General features: G+C 38.3%; 1 protein-coding gene and 1 long non-coding RNA gene across 3 annotated transcripts in view, besides 1 other annotated feature; both read left to right on the plus strand.

The window, feature by feature from the left end:
• Positions 1–15959, plus strand: part of METTL15 (methyltransferase 15, mitochondrial 12S rRNA N4-cytidine) — a 424088-nt gene extending 408129 nt beyond the window's left edge. For both annotated transcript variants that reach the window (XR_007062458.1, XR_930849.3), the window contains 2 exons: positions 9962–10004; positions 10100–15959. The gene's annotated coding sequence lies outside the window, so the exon portion shown is untranslated. The remainder of the gene's footprint in view (positions 1–9961; positions 10005–10099) is intronic.
• Positions 4024–5223: an enhancer, noted in NCBI's record as "MED14-independent group 3 enhancer chr11:28542087-28543286 (GRCh37/hg19 assembly coordinates)". NCBI's record gives its function as "activates an origin of replication core promoter dependent on BRD2, BRD4, P300/CBP and CDK7 cofactors, and independent of MED14, by STARR-seq in HCT116 cells {active_cell/tissue: HCT116}" and the evidence as "EXISTENCE:reporter gene assay evidence [ECO:0000049][PMID:35650434]".
• Positions 15960–22430: 6471 nt separating the features above from the next.
• LINC02758 (long intergenic non-protein coding RNA 2758) overlaps positions 22431–27853 on the plus strand; it is a 140695-nt gene continuing 135272 nt past the window's right edge. Inside the window, exons 1-2 of the long non-coding RNA XR_002957243.2 lie at positions 22431–23270; positions 26637–26744. This is a non-coding gene — a long non-coding RNA (long intergenic non-protein coding RNA 2758). The remainder of the gene's footprint in view (positions 23271–26636; positions 26745–27853) is intronic.

Consider the following 27853-nt stretch of genomic DNA (forward strand, 5'->3'; position numbering starts at 1 on the left):
TTTCCTCTACTCCATACTACTCTTTTTTTATTTGATTAAATTCAATTAAGTGCCTACTTTTTGCTTGGCAGTGGGGATACTGAGAAAATAAGATGCCCTTGAGGAACATATGATTTAATGGAGGAGATAAACACAGAAATAGTTTCATAAATATGGTAATTCTCCTGTGAATGTCATGCCCAGGTGCTTAATCCCATATGAGGGACTGGTTTAGCATGTTAAGAATAACTTCCTAGATGTGATGACACTTGAGTTATGCCTTAATAGCTAAGGATTAGGCAGAGAGAAGAGAAGATACCAAGGGAGGGTTGCCCAGGGAGATAGAATGTCATCGGAATGCCCATAGACATCTAAAGCAGTGCAGTGATTTGGAGGAAATTAATGTTTCTGAAATTGTTGGATCATAAAGTTCAAGGGGCAAAATATTAGAACTTGAAGCTGGAACAATAAGCAAGGGTCAAATGACAGCGATCCAGTTAGACCATGTTGAAGACCTCAGATTGTATCCTTTCAGTGATGGGAACATCGAAACATTTCATCTCTCTGTTGCCCTTTCTTTGCAAATGGGACAGACTCAGGGCATTCAGAATAGAATGTTCCGCTGAGTTGTTGTGAAAACTACAGTGTAAGGAGAAGCATGAAAAATGCTGCATATGCCATGAAACAAAGAAGCCAAGCTTGAAATCAGAATCTCCAACAAACCCCCAATCAATTGTGGCATCCTTAGCTTGGCCGTTGAACAGCTAAGGAGAGGGAATCACTCCAAGGGTATTTTTTTTTTTTCTTGAGATTTTGAAAGGTAGGTTTTTTAATTTATTTATTTTTTAATCCATCTAGCTTTGGATGGATATCCATCCAATATGATATGTCCTAATTGTTACTTTCAAACATATTTATTTCCATTGTTCTGGGCCCTGTTTTACCTATAAAGAACTAAGAGGCAATCCTTTCGTTGTGAGAGGGGTGGGCATCCACCCTGGAGCTCTGGATGACTCACTGCTTCACTTCTTACCTGTTTACCTTTAAAAATAACAGCTTTCTGTCCAGCCTTTCTGGATGCTGAAACACATTTTGAGCTCTCAGAGAAGGGACTCCTTTCTCATTTTAGCAACTTCTCTTCTTTGTATCAATGCCTTATTTCTATATTTCACTCCTTGCCGCTCTTTCCATTCTCAACTGTCATTGCCATTTACTTTGGCAATAAATAAGGAATGAAAGGCGAAACAAAACAGCCCGCCACGGTTACTGACAATGATGTGTGTGGGGAATTTTTCAGAAACCTCAGGGAGGAGACTCCAGTGGTTTCTCAGCCCACAAGTTTCAGCTGCACGGGGAACAATGGTCCTTCTGCCTACCTTCAAAGGACAAGATGAGGCATGGGCCTTGTTTTTCCTTTTTCTTCCAAACTTCAAACTTGAGCAAACAATCTTTACTTAACCCACATGGAAAACTTGCAAACAGAAACACATTCCTCATCTCCTATTAGTGCTGGGTTCAAAAGCAAACTTCAAATTAGTTAATGTTCATGTCGTTAAGTGGTTCCCTATTGACTGGGAAGAAGTAGGTGGGGAGCTGACTTGGAGAGGGGCTACTGCTGGCAGGCCAATAGCAAAATGAAAGCCAAAATCACTCAGATTGCAGGAGAAAGGTTTAAAAAAAAAGCATAAAGAAATTATCTAGGCAGTACAGGATCTCATCTCTGTTGGATGCTAGAGACCCCCCTCCACATGACACATCTGGGTGGCACTGTGAGAAAGAAAGACTTTTGGGAAGGAACTATCCTGGTTGTTATCATGGTCCATGAATATTTATGGAGCAGCCCTTAATAGGAGTGCCTGGCGCCACCACACAGTCTTATTGTTTGGCAGATTGAAAACCAGCTTCAAGCTCACTCCTGGATCCTCTGAAAAGAATATCTGGATTTCTAGCAGCGAGGTGGCTGCATCATTCCTGTTGGAAGACATAACCCTCTTGTTCCATGGGCAGGAATGTCTATAAGCATAATTTGATAATTGAAACAGTTTGGGAACTGAACAGCCCTTACAGCAAGGGTCTTCAGAAAGTGTCAGCTGTTTGCCTAGGGGTTAGCCATGTCATCCTCATACTGGTGGTGAAGTAAGTAAGGAAAATTCAGGGTAACACTATCCTGGTAGTTAAGAAAAACAAACAAACAGGACATACCAATTATTTTAAACAATTTGAAAACTGAATTAGAAATCCTAAGTTAGAGGCAACCTTTGGCTTAGTGCAATATCAGAAGCCCCCCAGAAGGGCTCCTGTGAATCACCACACTCACCCTGAAATATCGCTGTTAAGTAATGAATATTGTAAGGGTTTTAACTGTGAGGCTATGGGGTGTCCATGGATGTACATCAGAGGGATATATAACTGAGTACATAAGCTTGCTGAAATTCTGGGAACATTTCATATATGTATCTGTGAATGTGTGTGTATGCATATTTGTTTGTTTGCATATTTCTCAGGGAGGAGAGTCATTGCTTTTATCAGATCCTAAAGGATTTTTCTAAGTCTTAAACACTGAAAACCACTGTTGACTTTTAGAGTAGAGATGGACATCAGAAATATTTGACCCAGTCCTTTTTCAAATTGCTTTGCTGTGCTGAAACTTTTGTGTGGATGAAATTCACCTGAGATGCTTGTTTAAATGCACCTTCCTGAGCCTACCTCTACACAGGCTGATTTAGCAGATTTTGGAGTGGGATCCAGAGTTCTGCTTTTTAAAGAAGAACCTCAAGAGGCCAGGAGCGGTGGCTCACGCCTGTAATCCCAGCACTTCGGGAGGCCGAGGCGGGCGGATCACGAGGTCAGGAGATCGAGACCATCCTGGCTAACACGGTGAAACTCCGTCTTTACTAAAAATACAAAAAATTAGCCGGGCGTGGTGGCAGGCGCCAGTAGTCCTAGATACTCGGGAGGCTGAGGCAGGAGAATGGGGCGAACTTGGGAGGCAGAGTTTGCAGTGAGCTGAGATTACGCCACTGCACTCCAGCCTGGGCGACAGAGTGAGGCTCCGTCTCAAAAAAAAAAAAAGAAGAACCTCAGAGATCATAAGCCACATGCATGAATCAAAGGTCCTACTGTGAAAGGGGAGTAAACTGAAGACATACTGGGAAGTGTGATGGTCAAGTGCACAGGGTTGGTAGAAATCATCTTCAAACTAGAGCAGCTGTACTTTTTTTCTCCTTCACATATTGAGCTCCCATGTAATATTCTATTTTGCAGAAAGGCTAAAAAAAAATAGCATAGACATCACTGACACAATTCAACCACCTTCTTGTTATAGAAGAGGAATCTGAGGCCAAAGAAGTAAAGTGACACTGTCAAGGTCACTTTAGCTTTTAGTGGTAGGGGACAAACAAGAACCCAAGCCCCCTGATTGTTTGTCCAGGCATTTTCCAACACGGCTGATTCTCCTTAAAGCTACACACTGTAGTTAAAGCACCAGTTTTTAGCATATCACTGGGGAAGGAAGATAGGAAGTATTTAAACTTTTTACTCAGTCACATAAAGAAGTCTTCTTGGCCAGTTGTGTTAGGTCACGCCTGTAATCCTAGCACTTTGGGAAGCTGAGGCAGGTGGATTGCTTGAGCCCAGGAATTAATGACCAGCCTGGGCAACGTGGTGAGACCTTGTCTCCACAAATAGGAAAAGTGAGCCTGGAGTAGTGGTGCATACCTGTATTCCCAGCTACTCAGGAGTCTGAGGTGGGAGGATCACCTGAGCCTGGGGAGGTTGAGGCTGCAGTGAGCCGTGATCCAAGCCACTGCACTCCAGCCTGAGCAACAGAATGAGATCTCATCTTAAAATAGAAAAAGAAAAAAAAGGAGTCAGGGGCCTAGGAATGTTTAAACTAGAAGGGAACTGGGTAATCAAGAAGACCTGGGTGAGGCTGCCCTGGGAGCCTGATAGAAACAACAAAGGCATCTGGAGCCCATGCAGTGAAAACAGCTACATCACTTTGTCTGGTGCCAGCCTTGCCACCCAAGAGATATTACCTTCAAGAAGGTCCCGAGAAAATAACTTATGGTTAGGCCACCCTGGGAGTTCTTTTATTCATCTATAAATATGAGTCTTTTCTTTGGTTTCAGGATTATCTGGTAATTAATGGCTTCAAGGTGATTCTTCAGATTTGACTAGAATTTCTAGCATGCTATAAAATTTCAGGTTAGTTTAATAGTGGGCAGGAAAATACACCATTCTTCACGGAGTTTAGAGCTGTATTCATTTAGGAAAATGAATTTCAAAAGCTTTCAAAGCCCAGTTAAAGTAAATTTGGGTGGTGATATCAATTAACTAGGCTAACAGGAGTTGTAAAACCAGTCTGAAAATGTTTTCCAACCTCTTTCAAGATTTCTGATGCTGCTGGATTCTAACTTATGAAAACAGTTTATTTTCTTTGTTCTCTCTTTCCATTTTGGGCCTTGGCCAGTTTTAAGAACTAAGAATTTCAAGGCTGGTTTACAAAACTATCAAACTTCTTTTTTTTTTTTTAACTTCAGGAACTGTTAACTTGGAATATGCAGTGATGCATGTTCCAGGATGCAAAAATCAACTCCTTTAAAAAATCCATAATTGTATTTTATACAGTTTTGTATAATGACTTGATATTCAGAATTACAACCTGAGGTCCTGTACAATCCTGATGTGGCTAAGTCATCAATGGAAGATTCCATTCTAATCAGCCCTTATTTAGTGCCAAGTATATCTTACTGGGTTTTATTGTGTCTTGGACATGTCCAGCCAGTTCTGACATGTCAGGGCCTGTCCGAATGCCCGAAGGGATGGGCCCTCTAGTGCACTATTTCTATGAGTAAACAAGGTAATTGGGAAAAGAAAAGCCAAAAGAGCACTATACCATCTGCAGAAGGATTTCTCCTTGATGGGAGAGTTGGGTGTATAAGTTTGAGAGGTAGATGAGGCTATTAGAGAAGACAGACTGTTGGCTTTATCTTGAAGAAATCATATGAAGTTATTCCTTCTGGGGCAGTGCCAGAGGCTTAGGAAGGTAGGGCCGTGTGCTGAATATTTGATGTTTGTGGCCCTCCAGATTCACTTTCTATTTTTCTCCTCCCTGCTGTAAACTCCAGCGCTGACCTTGGGCTCCCTCATGCTCCACTTCTGGTTGGGTTTGCTTAAGGCATTGCTAGAAGACTAGTAGGAGAAAGCAGAGTAGGGTCAGGGTATTATTATCCTGGTTCCTTCCATGTCCTAGTCTGGGAGTTTCTCTCAAGTATAGGCCATAGCTCTTCAGTATCTTTCTTTGCCCCACTCTTGCTGTCTCTCTAGGTTTCCCACTGGCTCCCTTCTTTGCCTCTTCAGTCCTGGAGGTGATCCTCTGTTACTCACCTTGGGGGTAATGTGCTGTTCCTTGTAGTTTCCTTATATGCTGTCCACAACTCTGGCAAGAATCCTTTTACTAAACTTGCCTTAATGTTTCCAATTTGAGTTTGCCATCTGTTTTCTGTTGGGACCCTGACTAATACAGGTGTGTAGTAATGAGGTAGTGAAATGAATGCTGTATCATTAAAAATTTGATCAGAAACTGAGCACACACAATAGGAAAGCTCTGTGCCTTAATATGAACAGGAGAATCTGGGGGATGTTAGGCTCTGGAGCCAGCCCTCCCTTCACTCTAAATAGAAGTATTGACCTTAGAGTGAAGTCTAAAATTGATATGTGTATATGAGCAGTGTATTAGTCAGGATAATCCAGAAAAACTGAACCGGTGGGATGTATGTATACAGTATATAGAAAGGTTTATTTGAAGGAATTGATTGACATAATTATGGAGGCTGGCAAGTGCAAAATCTGCAAAATGGCCCAGCAGGCTGGAGACCCGAAGAAGAGCTGACTGTACAGTTCAAGTCCAAAGGTTGTCTCCTGCAGCATTTCCTCTTGCTTGGCGGAGGTTAGTCTTTTGTTCTATCCAGGCCTTCAGCTGATTAGAGGAAGCCCATCAGCATCACAGAGGGTAACTTAATTTATTCGAAGTCCACCAATTTAAATATTAGTCTCATCCAAAAACACCCTCACAGAAAAATCCCAGAATAATGTATCTAGGTGTCACATATCTGGACACTATGGCCCAATCAAGTTGACACATAAATTTCACCATCACAAGAAGGCAGAAGGAGCCTCAGGAACCAACACAATCAGGAAAAGTTGGGCTCTGGAGACTACATGACCATCTCACTTCTTCACCATGGGTTACAAGGGCAGAACCAGTTGCCACTGCTTGAATTAAGCAGAGTAAACATGAGACCGTGAGATCAGGAGGAAAGCTACATATGTGTCTGGCAAAGAATAACTTGCTAGACTAGGTCTATATCAAGGACCAAATCATCATTTGTTTATTCACCCACTTTTACATTATTTTATTCATTTATTTAAAACATTTCTATTGAAAAAGTACTAAATGCCAAGAACTTTGCGAGGTTCAGAAAACTAGCAAATTTGCTAAAGATACAACATTGAATACAATGGATGCGGTTCTTGCCTTTATGGAGTATACTGATTTAGAGGCAAGACGGATTATAAACCAATAGTTGTTTAAATAATTACTTTATTATAATTCTAATAAGTGGCATTAAAAAAGGGTACAGTACAATGAGAGGATATAACTAGTTAAAACAGCAGGTACTGAAAGCTATCATCAAACCTATTCCCTTGTGCTCTTGGGCACATAAGTAGTCTGTATTTTCCATCCCAAATACAAACACATTTTCAGTTGGATACAACAATATAATTGAATTATAATCAATAAATGTGAGCAAAAATAATATATGTCATTACATAGTCTAGCCTATAAAATTCTCCCTTATACAATATTCTGTATTCTTTTTGCTTTGACTTGAAACATATGAACATCATGACCTTTGAATCTATGTGTTGAAAATGGCAGAACGACATATTGGAAGCTGATTGGCTCTCTGAAACACTACACAGAAGTCACCAACCAAACACCAGCATTGGACTATTACATGTGGAAAATAAATTTATATTGGCTTTAGCCACAGTGATGCTGATATTTGCTCATTATGAAGCTAGAATTGCCATAACTAATATAGAAACTAATTCTGAAGTTATGATTCAACATAAACTTGAAATGAGGTACTATCTACATATAACAAACATTTAAATTAGGTGACATTGACCTATCAGTAATAAGTTAGGCAGCCATAAAACTCTTAAAGGTTGGATAAATGAAGGCCCATTCTATGAATTTGACCAAATATTTGGTAAAGTTATTGACTATGATAACTTGAAGGCAGAAAATGGGCCTATTGAGCCTGTGGTTTCAGTTATTAATTGATGGGTGATTTTGTATCCCAGGGCACATATGACAATGTCTGGAGATATTTTTGTTTGTCGTGACTAAGGTGGGGTGGTGCTATAAGCACAGAGTGGGTAGAGGCCAAGGATGCTGACAAACATCCCACAATGCACAGGATAGATCCCTAAAATGCGTAATTATCTGATCTAACGTGTCAATGGTGTTGGGGTTGAAAAATTATATTCTGGGGGATACAGTTGGAAAAACTCAGAATAATCCAAATTGGTTTTCATTTCCACTTTTTACCAAGATGTTACTAGGAAAATAAAGCTAAATCCAGAAATAACTGGATAGTTGCCAGACAGTCAGAGAATACCAAAAATTTTTGATTTTTTTGAAAATCACTTCAAGACCATGAACGATAATAGATGAAATCTAAAGAGGTTTTGAGTAACAGTGACTCATGCAGATAGAGCTCTGGAAGTACAGATTAGATTAAAGGTATGTGGCCTTCCCACCCAAGTCTATGACTTCACTGGTCTCAAGATATCATCTATTAATGTGAAAGAGATTGCCTTGGAAGATAGAAAGCAAATACCTAAATTGGGCTTGATAATTTTATCTGGGAAATAATCTTGGGCATAGTCACTAGAACATGGAACTGATTAGTAAGTAGATTAAAAGCCTACCAAGGAGCCCAACAAGTATTTGAGGGAAAGGTATTGTCAAAGACATTTTCTTTGTTAGAGCATTAGTATTGCCTCGATGAGTAATTACTTAGTGTGAAGGGTTCAAGAAAGTGTCTGTGGAAATTGCATTTAAACTGAGTCCTCAAAAATGGAATAATCAGCAAGGTAAAGGAGTAAAACATTGTGTAGTTCCTGAAGTTAGGAACTGAATGAGAGCCAATATATTTGAGATACAGTAAATTGAAGGGAGCCTAATGAGAGATAAGGATTTAGGTAAGGAGAAGAACATACAGGGCTTAAAGGTTATGTGTCCAGAATTGGTGGGTTATTGGTCTCACTGACTTCAAGAATGAAGCCGCGGACCCTCGCAGTGAGTGTTACAGTTCTTAAAGGCGGTGTGTCCGGAGTTTGTTCCTTCTGATGTTCGGATGTGTTTGGAGTTTCTTCCTTCTGGTGGGTTCATGGTCTCGCTGGCTCAGGAGTGAAGCTGCAGACCTTCGCGGTGAGTGTTACAGTTCTTAAGGCAGCGCGTCTGGAGTTGCTCGTTCCTCCTGGTGGGTTCGTGGTCTCGCTGGCTTCAGGAGTGAAACTGCAGACCTTCGCTGTGAGTGTTATAGCTCATAAAGGCGTGTGGACCCAAAGAGTGAGCAGCAGCAAGATTTATTGCAAAGAGCAAAAGAACAAAGCTTCCACAGTGTGGAAGAGGACCTGAGCGGGTTGCCACTGCTGCCTCGCGCAGCCTGCTTTTATTCTCTTTTCTGGCCCCACGCACATCCTGCTGATTGGTCCATTTTACAGAGAGCGGGAGTGGTCTGTTTTGACAGGGTGCTGATTGGTGCATTTACAATCCCTGAGCTAGACACAAAGGTTCTCCACGTCCCCACTAGATTAGCTAGATACACAGTGCTAATTGATGTATTTACAAACCCTGAGCTAGACACAGAGTGCTGATTGGTGCATTTACAACCTTGAGCTAGAAACAGAGTGCCGATTGGTGAATTCACAATCCCTTAGCTAGACATAAAGGTTCTCCAAGTCCCCACCAGATACCAGATCAGCTAGACACAGAGCGCTGATTGGTGCATTACAAACCTTGAGCTAGACACAGAGTGCTGATTGGTGCATTTACAAACCTTGAGCTAGATACAGAGTGCTGATTGCTGTATTCACAATCCCTTAGTTAGACATAAAGATTCTCCAAGTCCCCACTAGATTCAGAAGCCCAGCTGGCTTCACCCAGTGGATCCCGCACCGGGGCCGCAGGTGGAGCTGCCTGCCAGTACCGCGCCGTGCACCCGCACTCCTCAGCCTTTGGGTGGTGGATGGGACTGGGCGCTGTGGAGCAGGGGGCGGCGCTTGTTGGGGAGGCTCAGGCCACACAGGAGCCCATGATGGAGAGGTGGGGAGTCTCAGGCATGGTGGGCTGCAGGTCCTGACCCCTGCCCCAAGGGGAGGCAGCTAAGGCCCGGCGAGAAATTGAGCACAGCGCTGGTGGGCCAGCACTGCTGGGGGACCTGGCGCACCCTCTGCAGCTGCTGGCCCGGGTGCTAAGCACCTCACTGCCCAGGGCCACTCTGAGTGTGGGGCCTGCCAAGCCCATGCCCATCTGGAGCTCCAGCTGGCCCACAAGTGCCACACGCAGCCCCAGTTCCCACCTGCGCCTCTCCCGCCACACCTCCTGGCAAGCTGAGGGAGCCGGCTTCAGCCTCAACCAGCCCAGAGAGGGGTCCCCACAGTGCAGTGGTGGGCTGAAGGGCTCCCCGAGCATGGCCAGAGCTGACGCCGAGGCCGAGGAGGTGCCAAGAGTGAGCGAGGGCTGCGAGGGCTGCCAGCATGCTGTCACCTCTCAGTTATAGAGAGAATTTGGGTAGCTTGTGTCTTTCTAGAAATTTCTTCATTTCATCCAGGTAACCTAATTTGTTGGCATACAATTGCTCATAGCATTTCTTTATAATTATTTTAATTTTTCTTTTAGCAGTTTGAATATGTCATCCCACTGCCTTTGGCCTTCATAGCTTCTGGTGAGTAATCAGCTGTTAGCCTTATTGAGAGTCCCTGTTACATGAGTCACTTTTCTTTTGCTATTTTCAAGATTCTCTCTTTGTCTTTGACACAGGCCCAGGAAAGGGAAGAATTACATGAAGACACATGGAGAGGGGAGCCAAGGGGAGAGGTTCAGAAGAAACAAAGCCTGCTGATATCTTGATCTTGGGGTCTAACCTCCAGAACGGTGATGAAATGTCTGTTATTTAAGCCATTCGGTCTGTGGTATTGGTGACAACAGTCTAAGCAGACTAATGCAAGCCCTGACACAGACTTTATGCAATTTAATTCTCTTTTCTCAGTCATGATTTTCTCCTCTGTAATAAGCTCTAATTATCAGTGATGAAAATTAAATGTGTAAATGTGTACATTATTGTTTAAAGACAAGTAAAGAAAACCAACACCCTTGTTTTTGTTTAACGGATCTACCTATTTTTAGGAAATGTTTAAGCAGATGTGGATTTTTTTTTTAACACAATAAAATACTATCCTTTTCTCAGCTCTTTTAAAAAATACATACCTATTTTCTGAGAAGACATTTTCACTTGGTTGAATGATGTTTAATCCAGCTTTGCAAAATAGCTCTTCACCCAGAATATGGCTGGTGGTTTGTGCAAATAGCAAAGAACACTTGATTTATTTTACTACCTTAGTTGGAAAACAAATTTAGTTAGTTACTTTACCTTTTGTTGTGTTGATTTTAACCATTATGCTTTGACTCATAGTTTTTCTTATAAGGCACATTGGGTAAAGAAAGTAGCATAGAGTTGAATCCCACCCTCCCCTGTTACTAAATGGCTTTGTTATCTTGGGTTAGCTAACTGGCTTTTCTGAGTTTGTTAGCTACTTTGTAATATGACATTAATTTTATCTCACTTGACCATTCATTTATAATTTAATAAATAAATAGGCATTGAGTACCCCCTGCATGCCAGGCACAGTATTAGATGCTGGTGATTCAATGGACATCAAAACCAGTCACAGTCAGTATCCTTGTGGAGCATTAATACAGTGAGAGCATAGATATTTATCAAAGAACTATAAAAATAAATGCACAATTGCAACTTTGCTGTCTCCTAGAGGAAAGAGGCATGGTGCTTTGAAAGCATATCATAGAGGGATTTGACTTAATCAAGGAGGTATTTGAAGGCCTCCCCAAGGAAGTGATAATTGAACGAAGATCTGACAAAAGAAGTAGGTGCTAACTAGGACTGAGAGGATTAAAAACAAGGCAACAGATAGGAAATATGCTACCATTTTTCTTACTAACATTACTGTTATTTAATAGAGACCTTCTTAGCGTTTTTATCTCATCAGTGAAGTGACACTTTGTCTTATGATAATTCCAGGTCTGGCATTATTTCATAATTCCTTGTCTGGAATAAATATTTTCAAACTTGAAGGTGATATACCCATAAAAATTCTGACTCTCAAAGTAATTGCCAACTGTGGCATGCATGGGAAGAATTTGTAAAAAAATGACTCAGTGTAAATCATGATTATTTTACATTTTTCTTAATTTTGTACCTATTTCCCATTCTCTGCCTATATTATATAATAACTTTTATATCAACTATATTTCCCATGTTAAACCTGAGTTATGAAATTCTTTCTGCATCTTTTCTCATGTATTGGAAAGAAAGTTAATTCTTTTCAGCTTAATCTTACCCAGTGCAAAGCCCTTGTAATAATGTACTTTATTTTTGAAGGCTTCTGACCAGTAAACTGCATACTTCAAAAAGGGACTATCTAAGCCCAATAGGCACCACTCAGCAACGAACCAGCTGATTCCCTAATACTAAGCAATTATGTAAGGACTGTCCAAACATAATAAAACAGCATTTCTCCCTCAGGGGAGGACTTAAAGGAACAGTCACCTCTTCCTACTCCTTTCATATAACATTGCTGCTTTCCCATCTGAACCGAGACTAAGTCAGCGTGATTGGTTAAGCTCTTCTTACTGAGAACAAACTGAACCCAGATGTGAATTGGGGAAGGCAGGCCAATTTTGCTTTTGGTCTTTGCAGTGCCAACGGTCCAATTTTTTCAAAGCTTTACAGTACCTGGCACTTTGGGCCATGTTGTAAAGATCAGGCTTATGAATGTTTATTAGTCATTCTCTGATAATTACTTTGCCACGATTTTCCAAATGGACAAAAACCTTATTTTTTCCTTATTTGTGGTATGTGTGTTTGTATCGCATAGATACTAAATATTGAAAGCTAGATTTCAGATCATTCTATGTTGGCTTAACTGAGCACTCTTTAAAATAGAGGAAATGCTGAGACTTTTAATTGGTGAGCCATTCTGAAGCAGAAATATTGTAATGCATCTTTTAATCTGTCTAATTTTGAAATTTATGAACAAAAATGGCCCTGTAGAGAAACAAAATGGCATGAGGCAAATGTTTGACATGTAATAGTAATATAACTGGAATGAGGTAGAATCCTTACCTCAGGTGTAATGGCTTAAATTTAGCAATTTCTAGGGTCCATGAATGGAGTGGGTTCATAATCCTAAAATGTTCAGGAAGGATGAAGACATAGGTGGAAATCTGCTTACGTTGAGAAGAGAAAGACTTTAAGATCAATAAACAGCACTTAGTTGAAACCACTAATGAGGTATACGACATGTCTCAGAAATCACAAGTTTATTTTGCTTTTGTGAGAAGTCAGAATAACTTGTGGCTGAGGCTGTCAACACACTAGACCGCAGCCTTGTGTCAGCCTCTGGTTTTTCTAGTGCTTAAGAAGTGTCAAGTTCCAAGAGAAGGGCAGAAGCTCTGTCATCTGAAGCATGCAGTTCATCAGCTTCATACTGGAAAACAACTTGAGATGTATCATTTTAAAGCACAAAGGATGTAACTTTATGAAAATCAATTTCTTGTTATTCTTCCATACTCTCCATACACCCACTTTTTAAAGAAAAAATATGCCCTTTTGCAAAGCTGGTACTTGAAAATGTGGAACGCAGAAATTCACCCTGATCTCTCCCTTTTCCCCCTACTTCTTTCGTGAATTGAGGAATACACTTGTCCAGATTATTTTGGTGTACATAGCAGGGGGTGGGGGGCGGGGGTAGGAATATGGGAGGAGTGGAAATAAAATGAAATAAAAAATTGATTTGTATTGCTCTGTTTGGCGTTTAGTGAAGACTTGATTAGTCCTGGGGGTTCTTTCATTTCTCCAACTCCTCCAATTGCCATAATCCTTAGCTCTATACTTGGAACAATATGAGTGCCCTCTGGTGGACAAAATGTCATTTAAATTTTTGTGTATATTGACTGAACATGGGTAAGTATGTAGAAAATAAATCTTATGTTTCAAATGTCCTCATTGAACTTCTGAAATCCATAAAAAATTAGTTTCTGATGTTCAAGGGTTGTGACAGCAGAAAATAGCTCCATAAAATATGGGGATAAAAGGCAAGCTGGGGTGGGTACTCCTGGTCCTATTTGCTACCAAAGTAGAGTCTTGGAGCTATACATAATTGGGAAGCTGAAGAGGAACTCAAATGTCTAAGGGGAAGGCCAATAACTCTACTTCTTGGCCATCTATGCAAAGATTAGAAATGCTATCATTAAGAAGGAGACATTAATGAAACAACATAAGCACAGGCAAAGCCTCTAAAGATCTATGCCTGTTGGCATTTGGTGGTTAAAATTCTTAAAGAGAGAGACAGAGAGAGAGAAACCACAAAGGTTGTATAACCTATTACATGCCTAAATAATGCAAAAGACATAAAACAATGCAGGCCTTTGCAGTAAAGGCTTATAAAGCATGTTTTCCCATTTATTCAGACTCTATCTTCTCTGTTGGAGAATAACACATTAAAGGCTGAATGCAGAGTATCTGGTTATTTTAAATCTCCTTCAATTTTTGACTTACTAAAAGGATAGCAATCTGATTTAAATTACCAAATTGGCAAAGCTCTAGAATTATGGGCAGCGGTGTGCTGATAAATGTATAACAACTGTTTCCAAAAAAGAAAGCCCTGCTTGGTAATATCTGCCAATTTCCATGGTGTAAATAATATCATCATGGTTGATTTAAAGCTACCAACATAACGTCACTGAACATACCATTCTAAAGACATGCGCACAATTGACTTTCAGAAACTGCTACAGGGCAGCTCTAGAATGCCACTAAATAAGAGATTTAGAATTTTTTTTTCTGTAATTTTCATAGTTTGGACCATGAAGATATATTATTTTTGTAATAATGAAAGAAAAACTCAAAAGTTATTTTAAAAATAGGCCCCAACTGAAGAAATTATTTCTAGCAAAAATTGTTTAATACAGTCTATCTACAATGTTTCAAAACTTAATATGTCTCTCTTAAAAACTCTGTAAAGTAGATAAAATAGATATCTGTACTACTTCTTGACAGGGAAGGAATATGAAGTCTAAGGGGGTTTAAGCAACTTATAGAACTAGTCCTATAATTCTAGTTTTTTTTTAGCTGTTTATTTATTTCCCTGTTTTACATACTAAATGGCAAATTCACAACTGAAATTGCTGCTTTCTAACTGCATTTGTACTTTTCATTCAACTGTGGTGTTTGCTTCAAGCAGAAAAGGATTATCTGAAGCTATCTCTTCAAGAAATTTCTGATTTTATAAAGCAATTGATTACTATATAATCTGATGCTATCACTGCTATACTCTAAAATGATGACAAAAACCACCATCCATCCCAGCTCCCATGGACCTAGAAAACAAGAGGAGAGTCTGATTATATTTTCTACACTATCTTTTCCTTGTATCATGCTTTTATTAGTTCAACCAATGTTGATAAAATCCTTGATAGCTCTAATTTCTGCCAATCATCCTCATATCCTTGAACTTAAGGAACTCACGTGCCTAGGTTTAGTATATTCAAGACCACTCCAAACCACTGAGCCATGTGAAAATCAGAAGTTTAGGACAGTGAAAGGAGAACAGATTTGTGAATCAGGAATATCTTTATTTGAATATTGCTTCAGATACTTTCTGTGTGACTTTCAGCAAGTCACTGAATCTCTCCGATCCTGTTTCCTTTTCTGAAAATAATAATGCCTACCTCACCGTAAAGTTGAGTACACTAAGTTAGATGGTATTGATTAAATGCTTATTAAAATACATGACATATTGTGAACACTTGAAAAATGGTAGTAGTAATATTTCACAATTAACTGTTATTAAATTAAAATTTAGTAATAATTGAAACGCTTAGCTTCCTTCCAGTATTGCATAATATTAGTTTCCAGGTAAACAGATAATCAAATAACAAACAGCAATAGATAGACACAGAGAATCCTGCATATCTTTTTAACCCCCCAAAACCAATTTACATCAAGAGCAATCTAAGTGGTTTTATATTGTGCCTGTGTATATTAACATTCACTTACCTATTTCCATGGCTATCTTATCTTTCTTTCATAGATGAAAATACCACATTAGGTAAATGCAGCACTGCCTCCATGGAGATGAAGCTCTTTTAGAAAAACGTTAATTTTTCTAAAACTATATTGTTGCATGTCTTTCTCTATCTAACTACCTACCACCATCATCAGCATCAGCTATGTAATCTATATCCATCCATTTGTTGGATGAAACCATCTCCATGATGTCTGTACTTTCAGGGACTTATATTTTTGAATTACTGATTAACTCAAACTAATTGATTAAACCCTTGGATTTTGGTGGATCACTTTTTGTTCCCTGTGTTGGTGAGATCAGCAACCAGTCTTGATCAAGGTGTATATTTTAAGAAATGAATACCAAGAAAGCAAAGCAAGTGAACATTTTTATTCCATAGCTATACCAGGGATTGTGATTTTTCCCTGAATTTGGAAATTTCCTATTTGTGTGTGTATGCATGGTGTGAGTACACATGTATGTCTGTGGGTATAAATATGTTTAAAAATAAAATTTGTATTTATTGCTTCATAAAAGCTTTTGTTTTAATCTAATAATACGTAAAGATCATTTCTTCCTGCCTTTCAATATTCCTCCGTGATTTCATTCTTAGTGATGGTATGCCAGTGTCTGGTGGGGAGAGACCATGATTTATTTGACTAATTAACTTGTATTGAACATTCACAGTATCTCCCATTTTTACTATTTAAACATGATGAGATGTATATCCTTGTTCTTGATTATGAATTGGTGTTTGGTTTTAAATTTATGACTTAGAGGTAGAAGTATTCAAGGCTGCTCCAATCTCCTGATGTCTTCTCTCAGGCACAGGATTCAAATCTTACAGCTATGCTGCTGTTGAATTTGGTGATCTTAAAAGGTTGCTTGGCACGTCCTTTCCCAAAGAGCCAACAGCAAGAAAGGTAAGGGAATAAGTGTTGCTTTGACAGCTGGCTCCTTTGTTGTAACCAGAGTATATCTTACAGGGAGAAACAATACCACAAAATAGGGTTTACCTTATTCCTTGGTGGTTATTTTCCTGTCAGCCTCCTTGGAGAAATCTACTTCTTTTCCTGTCTAAGTGATGGGGGTCCCCTGCAAGAAACGAAACTGCTCACATGGAGGAGAAGTACATAGTCAAGGCAGCCTTACCAGGAACCAAAAACCCAAACCAGGAACTAGAAATCAAAACCCTTCTTCCCACAATGCCCCTCCAATGCCTTCTACTGACAAAGCTTAACAATGGCAAGCAAAGGAAACATTTAAAAGGCCTAGATACATGTTTGCAGAACAGGCAATGATGAATTTAGAGCTGAGGCAATAAATAGATACCTAGAACAATCACTTACAATGTATACACTGTGCACACAATAAAAGCATTCCAACTATAAAATTCTAATACATTTTTTCTCAAGTGTCTTAATAAAAACCCCTTTAAGGAGACATTCAGTGATGTAATATTGTGATGTAAATAACACTGTCTTCAACAAAATCCATGTAGAAAAGGTGACTGTATTGTATTTATGTATATGTGTGTGTAGGTACAAATATATATATATATATATATATATATATATATATATATATATATATATATATAATGTATATCTTTCTTATAGTACCTTTCTCAATATGCTCATACCAGCCTATCTACAATGAAATTATTCAATGCAAGTCTTATTCACATAATGTTTCAACTAAAGAATCTTGATTGATTATTGACTGAGGTAGACATTATCTAAGTCTGAATTTTCCCAATCATGTGATCAACAAGCCTGGTGTCTGTCAACAAGGATTGTGGCTTCACAGTTAATTGTATTTCTAGTATCAAAGAATAGAGCAACATAATGGAGCACAAAACAGGAGTAGTCAGAAGCACAAAACCATTAAAAGAAATATAGCCATCATTGACAAAAAAACTTCTAGGAAAAGCTTAAAAGTCCCTCAGTTCTGAGCTGTCAGAGTCTACCAGTATTAAAGGGGACATCACATAATGAGTGGCAAGTTTTCCACTTGTCCTTTATGGCAGAGCAAGAAAACTTTATATTAAATGGACAAATAGTAAATACTTTTGTCTACTCAACTCTGCTGTTACAGCTCAAAGGCAGCCACAGACAACATGTAAACAAGTGAGTGTACCTGTGCCACAGGAAACCTTAATTAATTTGCTATAGGTTGTTTAGTCCTGCTTTTTAGGTAAAAGATACTATACAACTGTGTTAGTCTTGTAGGGGGGCGGGTGTCATCTTTTCCTTGCCAATGTAGGAGCATGCTAACTTGTTCACTGATTTTGAACAGAGGTCAGCATACTTTTTCAGTAGAGGGTCAGGTACTAAATGTTTTATCACTTGTGAGCCTCCTATTGTCTCTGTCACTTTTTCTTTTTCTTTTCCTTCTCCTCCATCTTCTTCCTTACAACTCTTTAAAAATATAAAGTACTTTCTCAGCTTTCAGACCTTGTAAGACAGGCCATGGTCTATCGTTCTGTAACCTCTGATCTAAAAGAGTAGTTTCAAAACTTTTTTGTGTTAAATACTAGAGATTTGGGTGGCACACTTTAAGGGGCTAAATTGAACCTACAGTTGTTTGGTTTCTCCTCAGCATAGTTTGGCTATCTGTGCAGAATTTGTTTACTGCCCTGAACTTACTCTCTTACATATTTACAATACAAGGCTTTCTCATGCTCCAATAAACACCAAATCTTTCTTTGGTCCCAGCTTGACAATATATATCTTTTTTCTTTTATTCCTTGCAAATGATATGCCATCCTATAGTACATTGTGTGGCCCAATTAGCTTAGCATTTTGTCATAGACGTTGCCTTAAAAGTATTTATTATCTGTTTAAAAAAAACCTTTTTATGTATTGAAAAAGTTTGGTAGCATGACTTTGAACAGTTTGCAGTATACACCTTTTTTTCCCATTAGGGTGTGGCAGTATTTGAACTACGTGGGCTACTTACACATGTTGCCTTTACTGTCTGTGTCTTTGGGAAGTTGCACCAGGATAAATTGTTATTTCCAGGCAATGTTTAACAGAGCGTAGAAAGGAAAAGTTCTGGAAGTTGTTTCTATGCCCATCTAACTACATTAGTGTGGGAAGAGCTGATAAGAAAGAGGATTGAGGGCTATTTGGAGGCTCTTGTGATACCAGACTCAAACCATATTCTCCTTAGATGCAAAGAATTCTTTTTTCTTGTGTCAGACTGAGTGTTAAGAGGCAAATGAAAACTAAACAAGAATTCACAAGTTAAGAATTTCTATTATCACTTGACTTCTTACTGTCAGTGCACACTTGGAACAACTCACCATCCCCCTCTATAAATTTCTTCATATATGAAATTGCAATTAAAATCCTCTACTTTATTATGATGATTAAATAAGATAATGTGTACATAGCAAAACACTATTTGTACAAAAACTAATACTACTTATGAAACACCCATCCTGTGCCAGGCATTTTCATGACACTCCTCTCCCATATAAAAAACATGTATTGCCCAAAGTCTCATTTCCTTAAGATTCTGATGGAGCCAAGGTCATATCTAGTAATTTATTGTGGAGAATGTACATATGTGGTATATGTGTGAGATGTTAAATATTAACATGTCTTAAACTATCTCTCTCAAATCATATATTTTCACTTGAAAGGAGACCTAGAAGTTTTTGTTAATAAACACCTGTTGAACAGAATTAATTATATTCAGTACATAGAACACTATCCTCAATCATTGGAAGGCATTTCTTTTGAGACAGATTCTTCCATGTATTTATTTGGATATACAGTAATGCCCCGTTATCTGAAGCAGATACCTTCCAAGACCCCCAGTGGATGCTGGAAACCATGGATAGTACCAAGCCATATTATATATAGTGTTTTTCTGTTGTAGTAACCAGATGACTACTCAATGATCAATGAGTGGGTAGCCCATACAACGTGGATGTGCTGGAAAAAGGGATGATTCATGTCCAGGTGAGACAATGCAATATTTCATCATGCTACTCATAGTGGCACAGAATTTAAAACTTATTCTTTATTTCTGGAATTTTCCATTTTATATTTTCAGTTCCTGGTTGACTGTGGGTAACTGAGACTGCAGGGAATAAAACCATGAATAAAGGGGGACTACTGTATATTTGTCTTTGAAAAATATATCTTAGCTTGTGAATGAATTTTTTAAACACAAAAATTGTATTGTTATAAATTTAATTCTGATTATTTCTTTCTTATATTTGAACTTAGATATATTTTTGCTTATATGTTAAAATGTATCATCATTTCTATGGGCCATATGAAATAACAGATGAGTACATCACATGTTATTCATTTGTTCCCCTTTTTGGTAGACACATGGGATAACTTGAACTCTTTTCTACTATAGACAATGCTGCAGTGATTATCCACTGAGGTAGACTATCACTGTTCATCAATATTAATTGGCTCTTCTTGGGGAGGACAATATTTTTCTGCTATATTGGACTTAGACTTAGTCACATGAGTTATTTTGGTTGATTAAAAGTGAACAGAAGTGACACATGTCACTTCTAGGTGGAGGCATGTGTAGCATGTACTTTGTTTTTGCATCTGCTGATGGCTTTTCACCTGGAACCAACAATGTTCCAGATAATTCCTGTTCTGTTAGCCTGGGTCCTGAGTTCAAGGTGATTTCTACGATCAAAGCCACCCTGTCACACAGTGTTGTGCAAATAGTATACATGAGAAATAAACCTTTGCTAATAGAAGTCAATAAGATTTGGGAAGTGCTTGTTACTGCAGCAAATCCTGTCCTGTTGTGAATAGAAACTGATGTCATGATTAAACAAGACCTTTAAGTTCCTCCATCTGAGGGAGATTGGAAGGTATTTTGTTTGTAGAAAGAAGAATGAACCCAGTATTTGTGACCATAGTTCACAAAGGTGAATGATGATGGTCATTAGGACTGTTCAAAAATGTCAGTTTCCTCACTCTGGATATAGGGTAGGATCATATTTGCTATCCCATTTGGACATGATCTTTTGTGAATTTTGTGCAAATTTCTTTGGCTTATATACTCAGGAACTGGAATGCTAGACTGTACACATTGTTCTTCATAGTGGATATACCAGTTTACCCTCCCTGTAGCAGATCAGTAATTCCTGATTTGCGACATTCTCAGCAACACTTTACATATCCATCATTCCAAATTTTTTCAATCTTGTGGGTATAAATTGGTATGTAATTATTGCTTTATTCAGGATTCTTCTGAGTGCTATAGAGACTGAATGCCTGTTCACTTACCTTAACTCTGAATCACATACAAATTGTGCAAGTTTAAATTTTGACCATGTAAGCATTGTGTTTTTTGTCCTCTTTTTTTGGTGGGTTCTATGGAGTTTGTCGTATACTTCAGATGTTAAATTCTTGTCAGATTTTGATATTGCAAATATCTTGTCCCAGTCTGCCACTCATCTGTTAACTTTGACAATGATGTTCATTAAACAGATATCTTTAATTTTTATGAAAATTCATTAATTTTTCTGCTCATGGCTTTTGATTTTTGAATCTTTTTAAATTAAGAAAATTTTTCTTATCGTCAAAGTACCAAAAATAATTTTCTACCTCAGTTTTTATCTTTTTATAATTTTTCCTTTCCCATTTAGGCATTTAATCCATTTGGTGTTGAATTTTGATGTATAATACGAAGTGGGAAATATAACATTTTTTATTGACATCATTATCTAAATAATTCATGCATCAGTCAGTGATCTTTGATGCCATCTCTACCATAGGGTAGGGTCTCACACAAATGAATCCGTTTCTAAGTTTTCTACCATGTTTCATTCATCTACTTGTTGACTCTGTATCACAACCACACTATTGATTACTGTGATTTATTAATTATTGTTTTATTAATGGATGTTTATTTTTTATTAAAAAATCTTAGGATAAACTTGTTGAAGTCCTCAGTGTTGTTTAGATTGGAACTACATTAAATTTATATAGTCATTTGGTTTAAAGTTAACAAGTTTACAGTGCTGTTATCTCCTCCAAGAATGAAGTATATTTCTTTGTTTATTCAAGTTTTATGGGGAGAGAGATGAGTCATTTTAAAACATTTAAAATTTTTCTCCATAAAGGTCTTGGTCACTTCTATTAGATTAATTCCTACATGTGTTTGTTTTTTCATTGCCATGTTATTTACTGGTTATCACTGATAAGACAGATGCTACTCATTTTGGGGAACTGATCTTGTCTCTGGCTACTTTGGTCAAATCTTATGAATTCTAATGGTTTACTATGGATTTTCTTGTTGTCTCCCTGCCCCTCATGGAAATGTACTATTTGTTCTGTTTTTTTCAAATAGGTCGGGCGCGGTGGCTCATGTGGTTGGGCATGGTGGCTCGCACCTGTAATCCCAGCACTTTGGGAGACAGAGGCAGGTGGATCACTTGAGGCCAGGAGTTTGAGACCAGCCTGGCCAACATGGTGAAACCCTGTCTCTACTAAAAATACAAAAATTAGCTGCCAAGCATAGTGGTGCACGCCTGTAATCCCAGCTACATGGGAGGCTAAGGCAGGAGAATCGTTTGAACAGGGGAGGCAGAGGTTGAAGTGAGCCGAGATGGTGCCACTGCACTCCAGCCTGGGCAACAGAGTGAAGCCCTGGCTCAAAAAAATAAGTAAGTAAAAATAAAAATAAATAAAAAATAGTAACAACATTGTGTCTTCCTTTCCAATATGTTTATCTTTCTCTCTCTCTTTCTCCTTCCATCTCTATCTCTGTTTCTCTCCTTCTCTCTCTCTCTTTCTTTCTCTCTCTCTCTCTCCCTCCCTCCCTCCCTGTCATCTTATTGTATTGGTCAGTACCTCTGGTATCATGTCAAACAACTGAAATGATAGCACACATCTTTTTCTTCTTCCTAACTTTAAAAAATATACATTTAAGAATTTATCATTATGGTTTTGCCCTAGGTTCTTGGTAGGCTATTATTATCCTTATTATTGTTTAAATAAAATTAATAGTTTCTTTCTATTTCTTGTTTCTACGAATTTTTTAAAAAACAAAATGTATTAATTTTATCAAGCACTTTTTCTGCATCTCTTAAAGTGACCATATGAACTGTCTTCCGTAGTGCTAATGTAGTAAATTACATTGTTTGTTTGATACTGAGCCATCCAGGAGTTTCTAAAATAAATCTTGTCATAATTTTTTAAGTATGCTATTAAATTTGGTTAGTTTTCCCAGGGGTTTTTTTTTGTATCTATTATATAAGTAAAATTGGCTTACATTTTTGTCCTTATTATGAACTTCTCTGGTTTTAATATAGGGGTGAAACTGGCTTTTAAAATGAGTTAGCTAACTTTTATTGCTTTTACATTTTCTGGAACAACATATGGTGGTTATCTGTTTTTATATTGTTTGTTACACTCACCCCATGCAACTATCCAGGCCTAAAATGTCTTAGGTAGTAGTGGGAGAATTGGTAGAGAAGGAAGTTTTTACTATCTTTTTTTTGATGATTTGGCATATTCATGGGTTCTATTTCTTTTTATGCTTATTTTGACTTTTTGTATGTTTTTCAAGAAATTTATTAATTTCATCTAGATTTTTAAAAATACAATTCAATATGGTTGTTGAGTGGTTTATAGTTTTTTCATGATGCTAAGAAAATCTCTGTTATTTTTATACTTATTTCCTCTTTCTCAATTGCTTATTTATGTTCTTCAGAAGCTCTACAAGGTCCTTCTCACTGCACTAGTTCTTGATTGGGGATATTTGTTATGCTACGATATAATCTGACCCTCCCCAGCTGTGCTTTCTGAAATACACCCCACAGCCTCTTGCTGAAGGACACTTTAACTTGGCAGGTAGGCCTTATGAGTAAGATGGTTCACACTCAGCTACTTTCCATACTGTTCACTTGATTTATGGGACAGTCATACATGTCTATTATACAGCCTTATTCACTTACTGTTACCCCCTATCATTACCACAGACTGTCTCTTTCAACATCGTGGTTGTTTTCTTTCTGTCATATTTCTTGTTTCCCAATTAATGTATTCAGAGCTATACATTTTATTCTATGTACTGCTCTAGCTACATTTCACAGATTTTTGCATATAGTACTTTCATTGAGTTCTGCTCAAATTGTTTTTAAAAATTTCTGTCAGGATTTTTCCTTTACCAAAGAATAAGTTAGTGATATTTATCTTTTATCTAAAAATCATTTGTTATTAATTTTCAATTTTATTACATCCTGGTAATTCACAGAAATATGATCTGTGTGATGTTGGTTCTAGCCATCATAACTGAGTGATTGACTCTAACATATACATTTCAGGCACCATAGCAGGGGACAAGGGGAAAGAGATCTCGGGGGATATCTGCATATGCTGCTGACTCTATTGCCCATAATGGAAGGGCATAATTAATTAGAAAGCTAGAAATCAAACTTTCTCCATGTGGAAGGATAAGAAATCTGAGGCTTACAAGAGCAGCAGGACTAGAGAATAGGAAATGAAAGGTTCATCACAATAGTCTTCTCACCATCATAATCTTTTTATTTTGGGGATAAATATTGAATATATTTTATATTCAAGACAACACAATGGGTTTTGGGGGGATTCTGGTGAAATCTGTAGTTAGGACAGTGGCAGAGACTGGCTAGGTACTCACCAAACACATTTTCTCTTCTTTCTGGGTACACTGCTAGCTTATCCTCCCAGCTCACTCTTCCTGAGGTAAGGACATGTGACCACTTCTCATGAATGGAATGTGAGAAGAAATGTGTGTCACTCCTAGGCCAAGGTTGCTGAGTGGGTATAGTCTTCTCTGTGCCCTTTGTTCTTGTTACTACTCAGATTCAGAGGGTCCTTTGGAGTAGTCCAAGGAGATGGCACAGCCACTTGATTGAGGGGAAACCTGGAATCCTAAATAACAGGGAAACCTGGAGTCTCCTTTCCCCCAGCCCCATCCCCACTGAGTCACACTGAATTATGATATGAGCCACAAATAAATCTTTATTTTATTAAGCCACTGAAATTCTGGGGTTATTCAGCACAGTAGCTACCAAGACAAATATAGAAAATTACAATACAAATTGGAAAGTGAGATGTAACTTGTGAGAGATGGGGAGAGCTTCTGTTCCTTTGAGATAATCAAAGAAGATTTTATTGGAGGAGGTAATAACTGAGCCAGATATATTTTTAAATTAGATAAGACATAGGTAATTAGAAATGGGAGAGGCAGAGAGTTGGTAACTGTTTCAGAGGCAGAAATGAAAGAATGAAGGGGGAATTGGGAGGTGTGAATAGATCATATATTATATGTTAGTTTGGATGGCAAGAACGTTATGTGATAGGAGGGAGGTAAGAAGTAAGGGTGGAGAGATAGAATGCTGAATTCCAATTTTACTCCCTAGGATTTGTTTTTTACTAGAAGAGTAAAGAAGAAATAGCTTGGAAAGATGTTTGAGATGACCAATTTAGATATGAGCTCAATGATATCCCCTTGTTACAATAAAACCCCTAATCATAGCAGTGCCTAATAATAGGGTAGAAGACACAGGGAAAAAGTACAAGATGAGACTAGAGGGGTGGTGGGAGCTAGATCATGGCATCAAATTCAGGAGAGCAGATTTTCTTCTTAGTTCCATGGGGTACATTGGAGGGTTTCATGCAGAAGAATGCTGTGAATGTCATGACCCTGATTATTGTGTGGAGAACAAAAGTGCATTGGTAAGAATGGAAGCAAGGCACCAATTAGGAGGCAATGATTAAAGTGAGGCAGGTCCTCTCAAAGAACTTAAAGTCCTAGTTTCAGTATATTCATTTGGGAAGGGTAATGCATTTGCAGGACAAAATCAATAAATTAGAAAAGAAACCCATTGCTATAATTCCTTGAAGTAGAAATACAAAAACAAGAAAATGAATAAATAAATACATACACAAATACAACAGAGTAATAGCAAAAACAAACAACAAACAAACAAACTTATAAGGCAGTCTTCCTTAGACATGAGTGTAGATTGATAATGTCTCAGAGAGGTTGTGTATATCTGTCTAACCTACCCTGCCCTATTCCCCTATCATGCTGTATTTTTCTTTATAGCACTCATCTCCACCTAAAATATTATAATCTATTTTTCACTCATTTATTGCTAGTCTATCCAAATTCCACTTAAACCCAAGAGGGCAGGGAACTCATTTTTTCACCACTGTAGTTCCTGCATTTAGAACAGTGCTTGGGAGAGAAGAGGTAGTATTTGTTGAATGATTGAGAAAAAAAATAGCTATTTGCACCAATGTGTTTTCCTTGAAAAAATACGTGACTTTGTTGGAAACCTCAACTGAAGACTCAGGAAATCTAAGGAATTATTCTTCAGTAAAAGAACCCCAGGATGGACTAATAGAAAGAGCATGAGCTCTGGCATCACACAGGAGTGTATTCAAATCCTGGCTTCTTATGTTTCTAGTATCGAATGCTGGGTACTTGAACCTACTTCTCTGAACTTCATTCCTTATCTTTAAAATAGTATGACTACTCTTACCATAGTGTAATTTATATAAAGCATAATGTCTCCAACCCTATTTTTAAGAAATAATCTTTAATTTGTTGAAATAAATGTTTAAAATTTTCTAGAATTCTTATTTTTTCTAGAATTCACATTCATATCCTGGAAAACTTGGCTGCAGCTAACTTGTATATCTGCCTTTGTTCCCTCCATCCCTATCCTATTAAAATAAACAATGTCATTCTTTTTTCCCTGTGCTTTTCTTGAATTTTGCTTCCTACCTACTACACCACACTGAGCCAGTGAAAACTTGTTTAACTGCACAGCGTTGCCTAGCAATGTCATGCTCCTCTCATGGTCTCTCTCTGGGATATGGTAACTGGACTCCTGCTACTAATTCTTCTGTCTTCATATATCTATATATCCAGTCTTTTAACAACCATTAGAAGGGACATTCTGCTCTTATTAGCTGAAGGTCTTATAGAAGAGTCACCATTGTTATTCATTCTAATAAGATTAGGTAGAAATGTTTCTCTCTCTTTTCTCTAAATCACTCAGATTCTGTGTTTAAAAGGTCAATTACATTTATTTCAAATTGGTAAGACAAACATTTCCTGTGCATCCTGAAAATAAAATGGCTCAATGAACAGTCTCTTGAGAACATTTATTTTTTAAATTTTAAATATCTATCTGGCACTAAAATGTTTCTCCTGAATCTTAGGACTGTATTGAAAGTGATATTGAACAGATGCTGTGTCTGAAATGGAATCCATACCCCAGGAAGCTGACACCAGGAGTGGTGTGGGTGAGATGACCTGGCCCTGTTATTGTATCCTTCACTACTAAATGATCATCTTGGCCATGCTATGAGTTTGCAAGTATTAAACAGAAAAAGCAACAGCCCACTCACAGTGCCACATCATGGAACACTGGAGGTGGGCCACATGTAATAAATATAATTGGAAATAGAAGTAATTTCAAATCACTAATCTGTAGACGACAAAGTGATCTCAAAGAACCAATTGATGGCCAGCTTGTTTTTAGAAATCCTCACTGCAAGAATATTCAGATGCAGTAAAAGAATTTAGAGTCTCCTATTGTGTGGAAATGGGCTTTGATCCCTTACCAGTGGCTTTAGTAGTGCCTTCAGAAGCCTAAGCTGTTACATGCAGAGTCAAGAATAGCCTAAGCTGTTGCATATGGAGTCAAGAATCAGATGTAGGCCAGCCAGATTCCATACATTTATTTACTACATGATACCACATGGGTTACAAACTCAAATGCCTACTGGGGTAGTCAGGTTGCTGGACTAAGCTAGAGGAGGTGCACCTGTTTAAAGAGTAAGCTGCTACTAAGTTGTAGATGTGCTCTGTCTGTGAAACTGCAGACCCAGATAAGCCAGATCTTTTGATGGCTTTAAGAGAGCGTGGTTGTCTGAATTTTCTTGTGGAATGCCTTGATTTTCAAAGCATTGACAGTTAAGTAAAACAATGCAGCCAAACATGTCTTTGGGGCAGATGCAGCACAGAGTCCAGTTCTGTGATGGTCTGTGTATAGTCTTTGCTATTTGTGCGCATAGGCTGAATAAGATAAAGAATATTCCTGAGGTCCGACAGGCTCTTGCAAGAAAGCACAGCTATGTTCTGAGTGACAGGCTACAGGCCAAAGGCCACCTAACAAAATCAACTTTCAAATGGAGACAATACGAATACAAATGTTCCCTGTCAATTAGGCACTCCTACCCCACAGGTAGACAGGAGGAAGTTCCCAAGGAAAAAATTTAGGAAATAGAAAGGAGGAAGAATGGTAGAGGGAAGGGAGAGAAAGTGAGAAAATAGTATGGAGCTGCCTCTGCTTAGTGTCCAGTCTCCTGCTCTGACTGGGGAGGCAGGATGCTGTCCATCCCTAGGCAAAGTTAAATTCTGCTACGGCCTCAAT

Source organism: Homo sapiens, chromosome 11, assembly GCF_000001405.40.
Source record: "Homo sapiens chromosome 11, GRCh38.p14 Primary Assembly".
Taxonomy (NCBI): Eukaryota; Metazoa; Chordata; class Mammalia; order Primates; family Hominidae; genus Homo; species Homo sapiens.